Source organism: Homo sapiens, chromosome 3 (assembly GCF_000001405.40).
Source record: "Homo sapiens chromosome 3, GRCh38.p14 Primary Assembly".
In the NCBI taxonomy this organism is placed as follows: domain Eukaryota; kingdom Metazoa; phylum Chordata; class Mammalia; order Primates; family Hominidae; genus Homo; species Homo sapiens.
Window position 1 is genome coordinate 57,734,882 of NC_000003.12, and position 19,316 is coordinate 57,754,197.

General features: G+C 43.4%; 1 annotated feature.

Moving 5' to 3' along the window:
- Positions 16,703-17,902: an enhancer, noted in NCBI's record as "P300/CBP strongly-dependent group 1 enhancer chr3:57737311-57738510 (GRCh37/hg19 assembly coordinates)". NCBI's record gives its function as "activates an origin of replication core promoter dependent on BRD2, BRD4, P300/CBP, MED14 and CDK7 cofactors, with strong dependence on P300/CBP, by STARR-seq in HCT116 cells {active_cell/tissue: HCT116}" and the evidence as "EXISTENCE:reporter gene assay evidence [ECO:0000049][PMID:35650434]".

A 19,316-nucleotide genomic window follows, 5' to 3' on the forward strand; every position in this document is an offset into this window, starting at 1 on the left:
ACCCTTGGAAGTCACCCCCTGTAACCTCAGCCATGCTCTTGTTCACATAGACTAGCCCTAATTCATTGTGGAAGAAGACAACATAAGGACATTAATACTAGAAAGTGAGAATCATTGAGAGTCATCTTAGAGACTGGCTCTCATATACAGTGACTCAATTATACATCATATCTCACTAGCCAGTGACTACAAAATAAGATTAGACCTATTTTTTTTTTTTTTTTTTTTTGAGACAGAGTCTCACTCTGTCACCCAGGCTGGAGTACAGTGGCACGAACATGGCTCACTGCAGGCTCAGCTTTCTGGGCACAAGTGATCCTCCCACCTCATCCTCCTGAGTAGCTGGGACTACAGGCATGCACCACCAGGCCTGGCTAATTTTTTTATTTTTCATAGACATGAGGTGGTCTCAAACTCCTGGGCTCAAGTGATCCACCTGCCTCTGCCTCCCAAAGTGCTGGGGTAACAGGTGTGAGCCACTGCTCCCAGCCTTAATTTTTTAAAAATTTTAGTTGACAAATAATAATTATAAATATTTGTGAGGTACGATGTGATGTATGCATTATCAAATGATTAAATCAAGCTAATTAACACATCTATCACCTCACATTTTCATCATTTTTTGTGGTGTGAACATTTAAAATTTACTCTCAGCAATTTTGAAATATACATTACATTACTATTAATTATAGTCACCATGTTGTGCAATAGATCCTAAAAACTTATTCCTCCTGTCTAGCCAAAACGTTCTACCCTTTGACCAACATCTCCCTTTTCCCTCTCCCTGCAACCAACCCTCAGTTAACCACCATGCTATTGTCTGTCTCCTACTGTGAGTTAACCACCATCCTACTGTCTGTCTGCTACTGTGAGTTAACCACCATTCTACTGTCTACTGCTATGTGATTCCACATAAAAGTCAGATCGTGCAGTACTTGCCTTTCTGTGCCTGGCTTATTTCACTTAAAATAATGTCCTCTAGGTTCATCCATGTTGTGGCAAATGGCAGTATTTCTTTTTAAAGGCCATTGTGTATACATAGCACATTTTCTTTATCCATTCATCCATTGATGGACAAGATTGATTCTCTATCTTTGTTATTGTGAATAATGCTGAATAATTCAGTACAATTATTGTGAATAATGTGAGTAATGAGGATGGGAGTGCAGATATCTCTTTCACAAACTGGTTTCAATTCCTTTGGATATATCTCCAGAAGTAGGATTGCTTGATCATATGGTAGTTATATTTTTAGTTCTTCAAGGAAACTTCTTACTCTTTTCCATAATGGCTACACTAATTTGCATTCCCACTAACAGTATACAAGGGTACCCTTTTCTCCACATCATCTCTAACACTTGTAACCTTTCATCTTTTTGTTGACAGCCATTCTAACAGGTGGGAGACGATATCTCCTTGTGGTTTTAATTGGCATTCTTCTGATGATTAGTGATGCTGAACATTTTTTCATGTACCTATTGACCATTTGTATGTCTTCTTCTGAGAAATATCTATTTAGGTCCTTTGACATTTTTTAATTAGGTTGTTTTCTTGCTATTAAGTTGTTTGAGTTCCTTATATATTTTGGATATTAAAATCCTACTTTTTTTTTTTTTTTTTTTTGAGACGGAGTTTCGCCCTTGTTGCCCAGGCTGGAGTGCAATGGCGTGATCTCGGCTCACTGCAACCTCCGCCTCCCGGGTTCAAGCAATTCTCCTGTCTCAGCCTCCTGAGTAGCTGGGATTACAGGCATGTGCCATCACGCCTGGCTAATTTTGTATTTTTAGTAGAGACGAGGTTTCTCCATGTTAGTCTGGCTGGTCTCGAACTCCCGACCTTAGGTGATCCAGCCACCTTGGCCTCCCAAAGTGCTGGGATTACAGGTGTGAGCCACCACTCCCAGTCTAAACTCATACTTTTAATGTTCAAATTATGATGACTTAAGCCCTCATGGCACATTTCCTAGAGAAAACAATCTCTTCCTCCTCCCGTATTTCTGATACACCTCTCCTGTTTTCAGGAACAGTTCTTGTTCTATCACAACCTTCTGGATCTGCCGGAGTGCTGCTCTCTCATCCTAATCAGAATGTAGCTCCAGTGAGCACCGTTCTCCTGCACTGATGACTGTCACCATTGCTTCCACCACTGAATTTGGGAAGTATTTGATATTCTTCCAAGAAAGTGAAATAAGCCCAAGAACACAACCGAGGCCAAGCTGTGATTGTTAACAGGTTTTGACTTTTGTTTACAGAAAGTGTAATAGACAGGGTAACCTATACTGCTGTTAGCAGTGGCTGCTATGAAAGGTCCACAGTCTAAACTCACTATCAGAATGGCAGAAACGCAGGACTTCTGGAAACTCTACCATCATCAGAGGCTGTCCTCTTGTCCTATGCCCTACAAAAGACATAATACAACACAGTCTGTCATCAGTCCAATTCCTGAGGTCTGGGATTTTCAGTCTTTAACACCACAGGTGGAACTCAACAATCCATGTCATAAAGTGCTGGGCCAAGTGCCCTCCATTTCTTGTTTACAGTTTCTCCTCCAGCATTGGCTGAAGAAAACAAGCCTGCACACTCTCTCAGCATTCCTCTCCATCCCACTTCCATGACCCTCATAAATAAGTGTCTAAAGAACAGGCCTCTCAGCTCTGTAAAGATATCCAGTAATGAGCCAGGCACAGTGGCTCATGCCTGTAATCCCAGCACTTTGGGAGGCCGAGGCAGGAGGATCACCTGAGGTCAGGAGTTCAAGACCACCCTGGCCAACATGGTGAAACTCCATCTCTAATAAAAACAAAAATTATCCGGATGTGGTGGTGTGTGCATGTAATCCCAGCTACTTGGGAGCCTGAGGCAGGAGAATTGCTTGAACCCAGGAGGTTGCAGTGAGCCGAGATTGCATCACTGCACTCCAGCCTGGGTGACAGAGTGAGACTCTGTTTCAAAAAAAAAAAAAAAAGATATCCAGTAGTGCACAAGCATAGGACAATCTAGATCCATACTTACGGAGAAACATTTCTTTATAGAAATCAATATATAGAGGCAGACAACTACTAAAAGATACCTTATTAGCAGCCTGAAGCATCTTCATTTGTTTGTTTTGAGATGGAGTCTTGCTCTGTCGTCCAGGCTGGAATGCAGTGGCGCAATCTTGGCTCATTGCAACCTCCACCTCCCAGGTTCAAGTGATCCTCTTGCCTCAGTCTCCCAGAGATCTGGGACTACAGGCATGCACAACTATGCCCGGCCAATTTTGCGGAGGCCGGGGGGCGGGTATTTTTATTAGAGATGGGGTTTTGCCATGTTGGCCAGGCAGGTCTCAAGCTCCTGGCCTCAGCTGATCCACCTGCCTCAGCCTTCCAAAGTGCTGGGATTACAGGCCTGAGCCACCATGTCCGGCCTTCATTTGTTTTACCTCAGTTATTTCAGGCCTTCACCTACAACTGGACGTTGGTGATGGCTTTGCAATGACAAAACCCAAGAGGCAGCTTCAGGGTATCTCCCAGGACAAGGGAGGAATCGGTACTAAAAGGAAATTATAGCCTTTGCTTTTAAATGTAGTGTTTCCAGCTGGTTCACTCATCAAGGTTAAAAAATAAAATCCTGGCTTCAGCCAGCTTGTTTATAATATCACTTGCCGTGATTGCTTGTTGGAAAGCATGTCTCAGTTTCATTAGAGAGCCTGGAGGTCAGATAGCAAAAATAGAAGCTGGAAGAGATATTAAAGGAATAAGTTGTGCCTAGGGATAGAAAATAACATCAAGCAGATTGTTTGTCACGCGGTAACAGTGGGCTGTAGTGAAATGATGAGAGGTTTTGGAGCCAAACAGATGTAGGTCCACACGATGATGGGACTCTTCCTGCAAAGTGGGATGACTGGGACTTCACTTCTCTGAGCCTTAGTTTCTTCACATGTAAAATGATGGTAACAATTTTACTTCACAGAGTTGAGGATTAAATGAGAAAATACATAATCAAGCACTGGCAGAAGGCAGGCTATGCTTCAGGTATAGCACTTGGTGCTGGGAATAAAGGAGTGAAGGGATGAAAATGAGTCACTGTCTTCACTGAGATTTCAATCTAGAAGGGAAGGCAGGAATTAAAGAACTACCTAACTTCAATTGTGATGAATGCTATCACGAAGCCTAGGGTACCATAAAAAGAGACCTGACCTCATTTAGGGTGTCAAGGAATGTGGCTTTGAGGAAGTGATGCAAAAGCTGGGGAGTCTGGGTTAGGGGAGAGCATGTCATCTTTCAGTTGAGGCATTCTAGGCTCATGGAAGGTGCTCAATAAATGGGAGCTGCTATTATTACTATTTATTCAGTAAACATTTATTGAGTGCCTACTAAGTATACTGTGCTACCATGCATACTGAGGGTATAATAAATGTGTGAAGTTGAAAAGTAGCTTAACTTCTTTGAGCCTCAATATGTTCAGCTGGAAAATGGGAATATTAATATTACCTACCCCTTTAGTCTTTCTTTGAAGATTCAATGAGATTATGAATGCAAAATGTTTAACATAGTGCCTGGCATAGGGAGAACATAATATATATTAGTAATATTTTTATTCACTAATCAAGACTGGCTACATAATTTACAGGGCCCAGAGCAAAATAAAAATGCAGGGCTTCTTGTTAAAAGATTATTAAGAATTTCAAGCCAGGCATGGTGGCTCATGCCTGTAATCCCAGCACCTTGGGAGGCTGAGGCAGACGAATCACAGGGTCAGGAGTTTGAGACCCTGGCCAACATGGCAAAACCCCGTGTTTACTAAAAATACAAAAATTAGCCAGGCGTGGTGGTGGGCCCCCATAGTCCCAGCTACTCAGGAGGCTGAGAAAGGAGAATCGCTTGAACCTGGGAGGTGGAGGTTGCAGTGAGCCGAGATCGGGCCACTGCACTATATCCTGGGCGACAGAGTGAGACTCTGTCTCCAAAAAAAAAAAAAAACTTTGGCTGGGCACGGTGGCTCACACCCGTAATCCCAGCACTTTGGGAGGCTGAGGCGGGTGGATCACCTGAGGTTGGGAGTTCAAGACCAGCCTGACCAACGTGGAGAAACCCCATCTCTACTAAAAATACAAAATCAGTCGGGCGTGGTGGCGCATGCCTGTAATCCCAGCTGCTCAGGAGGCTGAGGCAGGAGAATCGCTTGAATCCGGGAGGTGGAGGTTGCAGTGAGCCGAGATCGTGCCATTGCACTCTAGCCTGGGCAACAGGAGCAAAACTCCATCTCAAAAAAAAAAAAAAAAAAATCAAAACAGTAAAGTATTAAACCAAGGGAGGGCCCTGTGTAACTGCACAGTTCGCATGCTTACAAAGACAGCCCTTTCACTAGTTATGTTATATGTACATATGTGCTTTTGCATAGCTTACCTATGTAAACAGGCTGAATCTTTCTTGGGAGCAACTTTCAAAATTCAGTATGTGGAATTTAGTGTATAAGGATAAAATATGTATACATGCAGTATATCAATAGATGATTGAGACATATTTTTCTCAACATGTTGTTATGAAAATTTTAAAACAAAAATTATAAGAATTTCTTAGCGAGCACATGTATACAAACCACCTAGATTCTATTATTAACATTTTATTATATTTGCTTTATTTTATATGTATATACATATGTATTTTTCAAGAGATGGGGTCTCGCTCTGTTGCCCAGGCTGGTCTTGAACTCCTGGGCTCAAGCAGTCCACCTGCCTCAGCCTCCCAAAGCGCTGGGGTTATAGGCATGAGCCTCCACACCTGCCTCCCTTATTATATATCTATCCATTTATTAATCAATCTGTCTTATTTTTGGTGCATTTCAAAGTAAATTCCAGATATCAATATCACTAACTAAAGCCAAATTTGTTTGATTCTTTCTCCTTTTGATGTAAATTGATATACAGAAGAATGCACAAATCTTAACAGTAACTATTTGCTGGCTGGGCAAGGTGTCTCACGCCTGTTATCCCAGCATTCTGGGAGGCCAAGGTGGGTGGATCACTTGAGGCCAGGAACCTGAGACCAGCCTGGCTAACATAGTGAAACTAGTGAAACCCTGTCTCTACTGAAAATATAAAAATTAGCCGGTCATGGTGGCACATGCCTGTACTCCCTGCTACTCAGGAGGCGGGAGAATTGTTTGAACCCAGGAGGCGAAGTTTGCAGTGAGCTGAGATCACGCCACTGCACTCCAGCCTGGGCAACAGAGTGAGTACCCTGTCTCAAAAACAAAACAAAACGAAACAAAACAAAACAAAAAAATACAAGAGTAAATTTGGTAAATTTGCTGAGTTTTGACAAATGCATTGTCCTCTATAACCCAAACCTCTATAAAGATACAGAACATTACCATCATCCTAAAAAGTTCCTTCATACTCCTTCCCTGTTAGTCACCACTCCTACCCTTTCCAGAGACAACTACTGTTCTGATTTTTTTTTTTTCTGGTGCTTAAATTTTTCAAAAGGAGCCTTGATAAGTATAAGTACTTAGCTTCAGTGCTTTCTCCTATTATGCACAGAAAATCTTGCAGTCTTTAAAACAGGAGAGGTAATTCTAGGATAGTTGGTGCAATCAACAACAAATATTTGTTGAGACAAAGAGTAACTAAATAAATCACTTGAATGCTTTTTTCAATAGTTTTTGGGTAAAAGTGATACAATGAACACTCCAGAAAAAGTGTAAATAATTGAAAAAATATAGAGAGAGGAAATTAAAAATCACCTCACATGAAGAGATGAACACTTAAAATATTTTGGGCTGGGCATGGTGGCTGATGCCTGTAATCCCAACACTTTGGGAGGCTGAAGTGGGAGGAGGATAGCTTGAGGCCAGGAGTTTGAAATCAGCCTGGGTAACATAGACCCTATTTCTACAAAAGAAAAATTTAAAAATTAGCCAGACTTAGTGGCATGCTCCTATAGTCCCAGCTACTGGGGAGGCTGAGGCAGGAGGCTCACTTGAGCCCAGGAGTTCGAGGCTGCTGGTAGCCGTGATTGCTCTATTGTGCTCCAGCCTGGGCAACAGAGTGAGACCCTGTCTCAAAAATACATATATAAATAAAATAGTGGGTGCGGTGGCTCACGCCTGTCATCCCAACACTTTTGGAGGCCTAGTCGGGTGGATCACTTGAGGTCAGGAGTTCAAGATCAGCCAGGCCAACATGGTGAAACCCTGTCTCTACTAAAAATACAAAAATAAAATAAATAAATGAATAAAAATATTTTGATGAAATTTCTCCCTGATGCCTATGTGTACATATATATAGTGATCTCTGTATAAAACCTGATATAAATGGGATCATACACATGCTACTATGTAACCTGTTTTTGTCACTTAACAATATCCCATAGATATTTTTCCTCATCATAAATATAAGGTAGAAATATAAATCATCATTTCTAATGGGCACACTCGATGGACATATAATTCTTTAATTAACAAGTTACCAGCTGGGCATGGTGGCTCATGCCTGTAATCCCAGCATTTTGGGAGGCCAAGGTGGGCGGATCACCTGAGGTCAGGAGTTCAAGAACAGCCTGGCCAACATGGTGAAACCCTGTCTCTACTAAAAATAAAAAATTAGCTACGCATGGTGGCACGTGCCTGTAACCCCAGGTACTCAGGAAGCTGAGACAGGAGAATCTCTTGAACCTGGGAGGTGGAGGTTGCAGTGAGTAGAAATCGCGCAACTGCACTCCAGCCAGGGCTATAAGAGTGAAACTTCGTCTTAAAAAAAAAAAAATTAACCAGTTACCTATCAATGATCATTTTGATTATTTCTAAAATTTCAGTATTATCAACAATACTGTAATTAATAAATATCCTTATACAGCAGCATTTTCTGAGCTGTATAATTATTTCCTTATGGTAAATTGCCAAAGGTGGGATTATTCAGTTACAACATGACCATGTTGTACCTGGTGGCTTATTATACTAAAATGCCTTCCAAAAAAAAAAGAGACAACAACTTACATCCACTGATTGGCTAAGTTCTAAACTCTTTAGATAAGAAAGTAAATATTTGTTTTATCTTCTTCCTTCAAGATAGAAAAAATGGAGACACATGAGGGGCTAAAAAGCCTATATTTAAACTAGCAAGCAAAAATGTACGTAAAGGTACCTCATAAACACTTCAAATAAATCCAGTTGAACTCGATTCAATAAACAATTATTAAACACCTACTATATTCAAAGATGGGACTAGCTCCTGGTAGTAGAAAGGTGAGAAGCCATGGGCCCAATCAAGTTCAAAATACTCACAGTCTAATAGGACAATTTTCCTGGCTACAGAGCTTTATTCTCACTAAAGCCTACATGACAAGAATGGACCCCAAGGGACTGCTCCTAAAGGAGCACTGACTTCTACCTTATTTTTGATATAAAACTCAAAAGATAGGCAGGGTGCAGTAGCACACGCCTGTAATCCCAGCACTTCAGGAGGCCGAGGCGGGCAGATTGCTTGAGTCCAGGAGTTCGAGACTAGCCTGAGCAACATAGTGAGACCACATCTCTACAAATACAAAAAAATTAGCCAGGTGCCATGGCTCATGCTTGTAGTCCCTGCTACTTGGGTGACATAATGAGACCCTGTCTAAAAAAAAAAAAAAAAAAAAAAAAAAAAACAAAAAAAAACTCAGAAGATATACGTGAAAAGAAAGTCTCCCTTCTATTCTTGTGCCCCAGACCACTATTTCCACCCATAGTTCCCCTATTACCAATTTCCTGCATATCTTCCCAGAAGCTACCAATATTAACAATTTCCTGCATATCTTCCCAGAAAATGCTGTGTATCTATGTATCCAGGCATATGCTGAGCAGACATATGCTAATTGTCCACTCATCACTTACTCATTCAAGCAATTTTTTACACAGTAGTATTATACACAGTTTTGCACATGAATAATAAAAATATACATTGGAGATTGTTCTATATCCATTCATACAGAGCTGCTTCATTTATCTTTTACTTGGAGATCATTCTATATCCAGTCTTAATAATCTATCTCATTCTTTTGTGTCATCTACACAATATTCCATTGCATGAATGTATTTAACCAATAATCTATTGATGGTTGGTCGCAATATTTTTTTAATAGAATGCTGCAATGACTATCTTTCTAGATACTAAAATCTTTTTGTAATAAGAAATGACTATGTGATGTTAGTAATGTTTGGCTTCAAATCAAGTTAGTAAGCTACTTGAGAGACAAAATTGTTGGGTTATAGATGAATATTAAAAAGTAGAGTCTGGGGCCAGGCGCGGTGGCTCATGCCTGTAATCCTGGCACTTTGGGAGGCTGAGGTGGGCAGATAACGAGGTCAGGAGTTCGAGACCAGCCTGACCAACATGGTGAAACCTCATCTGTACTAAAAATACAAAAATTAGCCAGGTGTGGTGGCGTGCACCTGTAATCCCAGTTACTCAGGAGGCAGAGGCAGGAGAATCACTTGAACTGGGGAGGCAGAGGTTGCAGTGAGCGGAGATCGCACCACTGCACTCCAGCCTGGGCAACAGAGCAAGACTCCGTCTCAAAAAAAAAAAAAAAAAAAGAAATAGAGGCTGGGTATGGTAGCTATGCTTGTTATCCCGACACTTTGGGAGGCTGAGGCAGGAGGGTAACTTGAGCCCAGGAGTTTGAGACCAGCTTGGGCAACATAGTGAGATCCTGTCTCTACAAAAAAATAAAAAATTACCTGGGCATAATGGCACGCACTTATAGTCCCAGCTACTCAGGAGGCTGAAGCAGGAAGATTGCTTGAGCCCAGGAGGTTGAGGCTGCAGTGAGCCATGATCATGCCACTGCACTCCAGCCTGGGTGACAGAGTGAGACCCTGTCTCAAAAAAAAAAAAAAAAAAAAAAAGTATAAAGCATTAGGGACAAGGGAAATTGGGGAAAGGAGAGATGTTTGATCAAAGGGTATAAAATTTCAGTTAGAGGGGAGGAATGAGCTTTAGTGATGTATTGCACAGAATAGTGATTATAATAAATAACAATGCACTGTATATTTCAAAATTACTTAAAGAGTGGATTTTAGATGTTTTCACCACAAAAAATGATAAGTATGTGAGGTGACAGATATGTTAACTGGCTTGATTTAATCATCCCACAATGTATACATGTATGAAAACATCATTTTACCCCATGAATATATAAAATTATTATTGGCCAATTAAAAATAAAATAGAGTACAAAGCATTAAATATATACACTATGTTTGAAATCTGTTTTCCCAAATAACTGTTAAAACAAAAGAAAAGCATAAAAGCCAAGAGGAAATCTCCACACACTTAGACTCCTCAGGGTGCGTAAATATATAGGCCTTACCCAGGGTCTTAGCGGTCCACAGTAGAGCTTTGTCACACTAACAGCGAGAGCTCCTTGTAGAGTCCATGCCTTGGCACTAAGAACTTCCCCTAGAGAGTTTGGATCTAGCAATGTGGACATACAAATATTCATTTGTCACACATAATTCATCAAAAGGCTTTTGTACATGCAAGCAGAGGAGCACATTTCCTTTTGCCTTTCCCATTGACTTTTGTTTCTGAACTTCATTTTGAAATAATTACAAATTTAAAAGTTCCATGAATAACACAAAGAACTCCCACACATTCTTTATCCAAACTCACTATTTTTAAACATTTTGCCACATTCTTCCCCCCATATATTTTTTCTGTATTATTTGAGAATAAATTGCATACATTATGCCTCTGTATCCCTTAATACTTCAGTGTGGGCTGGGTACGGTGGCTCATGCCTGTAATCCCAGCACTTTGGGAGGCTGAGGTGGGTGGATCACCTGAGGTCAGGAGTTTGAGACCAGCCTGGCCAATATGGTGAAAAGCCGTCTCTACCAAAAATACAAAAATTAGCCAGGCATGGTGGTGTGTGACTGTAGTCCCAGCTACTAGGGAGGCTGAGGCAGGAGAATTGCTTGAATCCAGGAGGCGGAGGTTGCAGTGAGCTGAGATGGCACCACTGCACTCCAGCCTGGGTGACTCTTTCTCAAAAAAAAAAAAAAAAAAAGCTGATGCATAGACATCTACTATTTTTGCCTGCCCAGCTATCTTTCCTCTTCCTTTTGGCAACAGCTTTAGGAAACCATCCATTTTCCATTGGATACAGAGTTAGTGGAACTGTCCTTTGAAGTCCTCATCCCCCACCCCAACCCCCTTTCTGTCCATGGAATAGGCATGTAAGGCAACCTAGGTCAATCAGTTGGGGTGTTTGAATCTTGAAAGGGGCTTAAAGATTGACAAAGGATGACTTGATTCCTAAAGGTGGTGCCCTGAAGAGGCTGCTTAATGGCTCTTGCTACTTATTAGCTCTGCTTCTCTGTGACTTGCTTTTTTAGCATTTCTTTTCATTCTCAGTGCCACCCCATGTCTTTCCAATAATTCCCATAGGCTTAGGTTGGCCGGTTTCTGTTGCTTGCAAACACAGGACCCTAATCAATAACAGCTGACTTGAAAAAATTTTGCTTTCAGCAACACTTGCCCAGATGGAACTGTGACTTGAATTGCATAGAAAAAAGTTCGCCCTGGGTACACCCTTCCCTAATGCTTAGTGTGGCAATGCCTTATAGACTTATGGCTCTGCTGTTCAGTCTAACTAATGACACCCTGTTTTCACACTCCCAGAAGTGACCATTCCTGGAAAAGCAGAGCAGCTCTTCTGTTAGTTGCAGCTTTTACAAATGTCTCCAGCAAAGGGGCACTGCTTTAGTCAGTGGTTATTTTAACTCTTGTCACCCCCAAACTGATCCATCTGGTTGGCAGAGTGATGAAATACAATCTGCCTTGAACACAAAATCACAGGGGGCTCCCTCCCTGATTGACTCTAGGGCCTGCTGCCAGCAGGAAGTGAAGATACCACTTATTGTCTTTCCTGACAATCTGTTCCTGACTTCTAGGAACTCACACATATGGAACAACACTTTGATGTCTCCAAAAGACATTCAGACAGTGTAGTATGAATCTATCCTCAGGAAAAAAAATCTCCATAAAAGCATAATCAAGCTTTGCCGCCGCGCCGGCGAGCGCCGCCCGGGAGGCAGCGGCTGGAGGAGCGGACGGGCCCCGCGGGGCCCGAGGGCAAGGAGCAGCCGCCTGTCTTGGCCTCCCAAAGTGCCGAGATTGCAGCCTCTGCCCGGCTGCCACCCCGTCTGGGAAGTGAGGAGTGTCTCTGCCTGGCCGCCCATCGTCTGGGATGTGAGGAGCCCCTCTGCCTGGCTGCCCAGTCTGGAAAGTGAGGAGCGTCTCCGCCCGGCCGCCATCCCATCTAGGAGGTGAGGAGCGCCTCTTCCCAGCCGCGATCACATCTAGGAAGTGAGGAGCGTCTCTGCCCGGCCGCCCATCGTCTGAGATGTGGGGAGCGCCTCTGCCCCGCCGCCCCATCTGGGATGTGAGGAGCGCCTCTGCCCGGCCGAGACCCCGTCTGGGAGGTGAGGAGCGTCTCTGCCCGGCCGCCCCGTCTGAGAAGTGAGGAGACCCTCTGCCTGGCAACCACCCCGTCTGAGAAGTGAGGAGCCCCTCCGCCCGGCAGCTGCCCCGTCTGAGAAGTGAGGAGCCTCTCCGCCCGGCAGCCATCCCATCTGGGAAGTGAGGAGCGTCTCCGCCCGGCAGCCACCCCGTCCGGGAGGGAGGTGGGGGGGGGTCAGCCCCCCGCCCGGCCAGCCGCCCCATCCGGGAGGGAGGTGGGGGGTCAGCCACCCCGCCCGGCCAGCCGTGCCATCCGGGAGGGAGGTGGGGGGGTCAGCCCCCCGCCTGGCCAGCCGTGCCGTCCGGGAGGGAGGTGGGGGGGTCAGCCCCCCGCCTGGCCAGCCGCCCCGTCCGGGAGGTGAGGGGCGCCTCTGCCCGGCCGCCCCTACTGGGAAGTGAGGAGCCCCTCAGCCCGGCCAGCCACCCCGTCCGGGAGGGAGATGGGGGGGTCAGCCCCCCCCACCTGGCCAGCCGCCCCGTCCGGGAGGGAGGTAGGGGGTCAGCCCCCCACCTGGCCAGCCGCCCCGTCCGGGAGGGAGGTGGGGGGGTCAGCCCCCCGCCCGGCCAGCCGCCCTGTCCGGGAGGGAGGTGGGGGGGGGTCAGCCCTCCGCCCGGCCAGCCGCCCCGTCTGGGAGGTGAGGGGCGCCTCTGCCCGGCCGCCCCTACTGGGAAGTGAGGAGCCCCTCTGCCCGGCCAGCCGCCCCGTCTGGGAGGGAGGTGGGGGGGTCGGCCCCCCGCCCGGCCAGCCGCCCCGTCCGGGAGGGAGGTGGGGGGGGTCGGCCCCCCTGCCCGGCCAGCCGCCCCGTCCGGGAGGTGAGGGGCGCCTCTGCTCGGCCGCCCCTACTGGGAAGTGAGGAGCCCCTCTGCCCGGCCACCGCCCCGTCTGGGAGGTGTGCCCAACAGCTCATTGAGAACGGGCCAGGATGACAAGGGCGGCTTTGCGGAATAGAAAGGCGGGAAAGGTGGGGAAAAGATTGAGAAATCGGATGGTTGCCGTGTCTGGGTAGAAAGAAATAGACATGGGAGACTTTTCATTTTGTTCTGCACTAAGAAAAATTCCTCTGCCTTGGGATCCTGTTGATCTGTGACCTTACCCCCAACCCTGTGCTCTCTGAAACATGTGCTGTGTCCACTCAGGGTTAAATGGATTAAGGGCGGTGCAAGATGTGCTTTGTTAAACAGATGCTTGAAGGCAGCATGCTCGTTAAGAGTCATCACCAATCCCTAATCTCAAGTAATCAGGGACACAAACACTGCGGAAGGCCGCAGGGTCCTCTGCCTAGGAAAACCAGAGACCTTTGTTCACTTGTTTATCTGCTGACCTTCCCTCCACTATTGTCCCATGACCCTGCCAAATCCCCCTCTGTGAGAAACACCCAAGAATTATCAATAAAAAAATAAATTTAAAAAAAACAAAAACAAAAAACAAAACAAAACAAAACAAAAGCATAATCAAGTGGGGTACGGTGACTCACACCTGTAATCCCAGCACTTTGGGAGGCCAAGGCCAGAGAATCACTTGAGCCCAGGAGTTTGAGACCAGCCTGGGCAATATGGCAAGACCCTGTTTCCACACACACAAAATTTTTTTTTTTAATTAGCCGGGTGTGGTGGTGCATGCCTGTAGTCCCAGCTACTCGGGAGGCTGAGATGGGAGGATCCCTTGAGCCCAGGAGGTCAAGGCTCCAGTGAGCCATGATCTCGCCACTGCACTCCAGCCTGGGTGACAGAGCAAGACCCTGTCTCAAAAAAACTCATCAAAACTCCACATATTTTGGTTACTTAGGAAAATGTTTCTAGTAGTAAAGGCATGTTGATCTATTTCTGCAATTTACTGTCAAAAAGTTCAGAAAACACACAGGTAAGGCAAATATGACAAAATGGTAACGACTTAGAATCAAGGAGCTCTGTGTGTGTTCACTGTAATTTCAATATTTCTGTACATTTGAAATTTTTTATAACAAAAAGTTTAGGAAAATATGAAAAATGAACAATTTTAGTGGATACAGGTTCTACCTTGATTCAATATTATTCTCATTATCGTCTTCAAGACTAACTTCAGAGTCTAAGCTAGAGTGAGAAGTTACAAAATCAAGTTTTCTTCTGCCACCATCTTTGCCACTGATCCTGAGTTATCATATAACCAGAAAATGGGGAGACGGACCTGTCTGGTTGCACTTAAAGCATCTCATTTCTCTAGAGAAGCGTTTTCAGTGTCAATAGCCCACCAATTTCTTCTACAGCATTTCACGTGTCATGCTCGTTAACATGCTAGATTTGCACAGAGGAGACTGGGTTCCTGAGCCATATGTTCAAAGCAGGAACAGCTATATAATTTTTTCGTTTTTATTCAGTTTCGCTTTTGTAGCCTGGGCTGGAGTGCAAGGGCACGATCTTGGCTCACTGCCCCAGCCTCCTGAGTAGCTGGAATTACAGGTGTGATCGACCACACCATACTAATTTTGCATTTTTAGTAGGGACGGGATTTAATCGTGTTGGCCAGGCTGGTCTTGAACTCCTGACTCCAGGTGATCCAAAAGCCTTGGCCTTCCAAAGGGTTGGGATTACAGGCATGAGCCACCACGCTTGGCAACAGCTATATAATTTGAGGGGTCCAGTGCAAATGAAAATGAGAAATCTGTTCAAAAGTTACCGAGAATTTCAAGACAGCAGAGTACAACTAGATATAGTCCTTCCAAGCGGGGCCCTACGTAAAGGTCATACGCTATGAAACCGGCTCTGTACAAAACCCAGTGAAGAATCTACAGATGATTGGCCAGGTGCAGTGGCTCATGCCTGTAATTCCACCATTCGGGAGGCAGAAGCGGGCAGATCACTTGAGGTCAGGAGTATGAGACCAGCCTAGCCAACATGGTGAAACCCCTTCTCTACTTGAAAAAAAAAAAAAAAAAAATTAGCTGGGTGTGGTGGCGAGTGCGTATAATTCCAGCTACTCAGTCAGAAGGCTGAAGTAGGAGAATTGCTTGAACCCCGGAAGCAAAGGTTGCAGTGAGCCGAGACTGACACATTGCACTACTGCCTCGGCAACAGAGCGAGACTCTGTCTCAAAAAAAAAAAAACAAAAAACACAGATGAGACCTCCTCCTCCCAGCCTTGTATGCTTGACACGCTTTGAGGGAGTGGGGGTGCAGGAGGAGCAGGCACTCCAGAGTCACTTCCTTGTATAGGTCTCTTCAATCCATTTCAACCTATCTTCTGAGAAATCCTTAAGACCAAAGATCCCTGAGATATTTATTAGTTTTCTAAAACATAGGCATTTAGTGAGATGCTGATGTATGACATTATACAGTAGCAACAAGGCATTTTTCTGAAACAAAAGCCCAAATAAAGTTTATTAAAAGGAAACACAAATAACTACATTCAAAAACAATTATTCAAAATATCATAGTTTTCTTTCTCTCTCTCTCTCTTTTTTTTTGAGACAGAGTCCTGCTGTTTCACCCAGGCTGGAGTGTGTAATGGCGAGATCTCGGCTCACTGCAGCTACCACCTCCCAGGTTCAAGTGATTCTCCTGCCTCAGCCTCCCAAGTAGCTGGAATTACAGACGTGTGCTACCACACCCGGCTAATTTTTGTATTTTTAGTAGAGACAGGACTTCACCATGTTGGCCAGTCTGGTTTTGAACTCCTGACCTCAGGTGATCCTCCTGCCTTGGCCTTCCAAAGTGCTGGGATTACAGGTGTGAGCCACCATGCCAGGCCAAAATATCATAGTTTTCTTAGAATAAAGTATGTACTTAAAATATATTTTTATGTGCCACACTTGCAGGGAATTATTATATATACATATGTTACAAATCATTTGATGAGCAAAGCCATCGTATATAGAGTCTCTGATATTTTACTTGGTAACTAAGTTATTTGGAAACAAATCCAGATATACCAATAAAAATTCAGAAAGAAAATGCCTCATGGGGTTTTCTGACCCAGCCCTTTTACTCTTAAGCATTTGCTACATTCCAAGTAACATTCTCAAATTAGTTATAAAAAACAAGCAGATACTTCCAGTAATCAAAAGGGGACTTATACAAGAGTGACAAAAAATAGCATAATTTCTTCCCTTCCTCGTCCCCGTGCCCCAATACAGGCCTTTTGCTATTGATATAAATTATTTATCACTTTTAAGAATAAGGCCCTTAGTGTTGACCTTCCCACTTCTAATAAATGTGGTATTTTTAAAAGGGCATGCTTCATGTGGCTTAGAATAGCATCTGGAAGAATACAGCTAACAAATTGTTAACAGTAGCATTAGACTAAGTATTTGTGATGGGGCTAGAGAGGACTTTTACTTTCCTCATTTTTGCTTACCTGAATATATGCAATGAGCATGTGTTTCTTTTATCAATCAAAAAAATCAGTCGGGGCCGGCATGGTGGCTCATGCCTATAATCCCAGCACTATGGGAGGCCGGACAGGAGGATCACTTGAGCCCATGGGTTTGAGACCAGCCTAAGCAACACAGGGGATCCGAGGTATACAGAAAAGAAAAAATTAATAAACAAAAATAAATTAGCTGGGTATGGCGGTGGCACATGCCTGTGGCACATGCCTACTAAGGAGGCTGAGGTGGAAAGATTGGTTGGGCTGGGGAGGTTGAGGCTACAGTGAGCCGTGATTGTGCCATTGCACTCCAGCCTAGGTGACAGAGCAAGATATTGTCAAAAAATAAATAAATAAAAATAAAGATAATTTTTAGAAAGAAAAAACCCCAGCATGTACTTTGGATCTAGCATGGTGACTTATTTTCAGTCACTCAATCGAATATTAAGATTCTTAATGTTTTTCTTAATGTTTGAGCCTGAGCCTTAGTTTCCTTACTTACCTATAAAATAAGGTTAATACTTAATACACAGAGATGTCATGAGGAAAATGCTAACCACATGGTAAATACACAATCATTAAAGTTCCTTCTCTGAGCCTCAATTTCCTTGCCTGTAAAATGTGGAAGCTGGATTTGTTGTCTATGATTCTTTCTGGAGTTATAATATTGTGATTCCCTCCTTTTATATTCACAGAAAAAGGTTGCTAAATGAACTTAATGTCTTCATTTGTCTTCAGGTAGTTACTTTTCTTTTATTTCCTGAATAACCAGGAAGCCACAAACATATGAGCAGTGCCTCTGGAATGTCTGGGCTACTCCACCCTGGGCACCTGGGAAATGACAGGGTATTTCCACTCATTAGAATCTCCCTGATGAAGAGAGCTTTCCTTAGTGGGAAGAGGACCTAACTTCAGTTGTAATAAGCCAGTGTGTGCCACTAAAAATGTTATATACTCTCAATTTTGGGCTTTGAGTACTCCCAGCTTTCTCTTAATTGGTTTGCTTACCTATATTTGCAATCCAGGTACTCTGCTGAAACAGTTATGCAAGTGTTCCATAATTTATTATATACCAAGTGTATGTCATTGGTCAAAGTCCAATTAGATCATTATTAATTAGAAAGGGCTGCTTATTAGTAGAGTTTACAGAGTTGTCTCCTACACATCAGAAATGCTAATAATTGCCCATCTTTGATGGTACTAGGATGATAATTTTACAAGTCTGTCTTTGCTTTTATAAGATTGAAAAGTGGCTTGGATCATAGCAGTGGCAATACTCATCAGACTATAAAAAGGCAGAAACTTAAAAAGGGAGAGAACTACAAAATCAGGAAACATTGCCATTCCCAATTTCTCAAAATATGACATGTTTTTTATTTAATAAAAATTTTGTGTGGATACAGAATCACAGAGAGGAACACCCACATGACTTAGAATTCAAAGTATCTCATGTATGAGATTTCTTAATTTAAGCCTTTTCTGTGCCTGCTGAATACCAGTGGGTGAAGAATGCCTTCAATGCCATTTTGGCATTTCTAGCACCCTGTGTAGCTTGATAGGATTCTTTATCCTGACATGTTATAGTAGTCCCAGCTTTTCTTGTAGAAGAAAGTCCACTCTGCTTAACATTAATTTTAAGAGATATTATAGTAGAACTGAATATAAACAGACTTTTTTTGTTTCCATATGTATGATTAAGTTTCTCTATATACAAACTAGAGATAAAACAACTTGCTCCTTACTATATGTGGAAGGCTGGGGGAATTCTTTCTATGAGCAATAATGATAAATATTAACATTCTGTGAGTGTCTACTATTTCCCAGCCACCATGGTTGGCATTTTGTATTCCATTGTTTTATTTAATCCTAAGAAGACTCTGTAAGGTATTATCTACCTTTTTCCTTCCCCCTTCCCAACCCCTTTTTTTTTTTTTTAAAAAAAAGACTAGTCAAGTGCAGTAGATATATGCTTTTTTTTTTTTCAGATAAGGAAGCTGAAATTTAGGGAAGCTAAATAATTTACCATTTATGGTGCTGGTAAAAGTATGCCATGTCTGATTCCAGCACCTTGACTTTCATTACTTCTCTTTGATCTTCTAGGAGGAAGATGGAAATGTTCTGAAGTCTGGTGCATTGCCTAGAAGTCCTTCAGCAACTGAAACCTCACTTCTGTCACTCTTTCTCCTCGTTTTCCCTTATCTCTTATGCTCTGGTGATACGAACCTACTTGCAATTCCCTTAAAGTCCTGTTCTCTCAAGTCTCTGGACTTTTGTTGGGATTGCTTCTTAGCTTAAAATTTCTTTATCCCAATAGCATCAGACTAGCTGTTCTAATCCTTTCAAGTTTCAGTTTAAACTACTCTGCCATGTTTCCACTACTCTTGACATACTCCATTACAGCAAGGATCTTTCTGTGTCATCACCTAAATCGAGCAACTTGAGGGAGTCTTTTTGTTTCTTCATTATTGTATTTCCAGGACCTTTCAAAATAT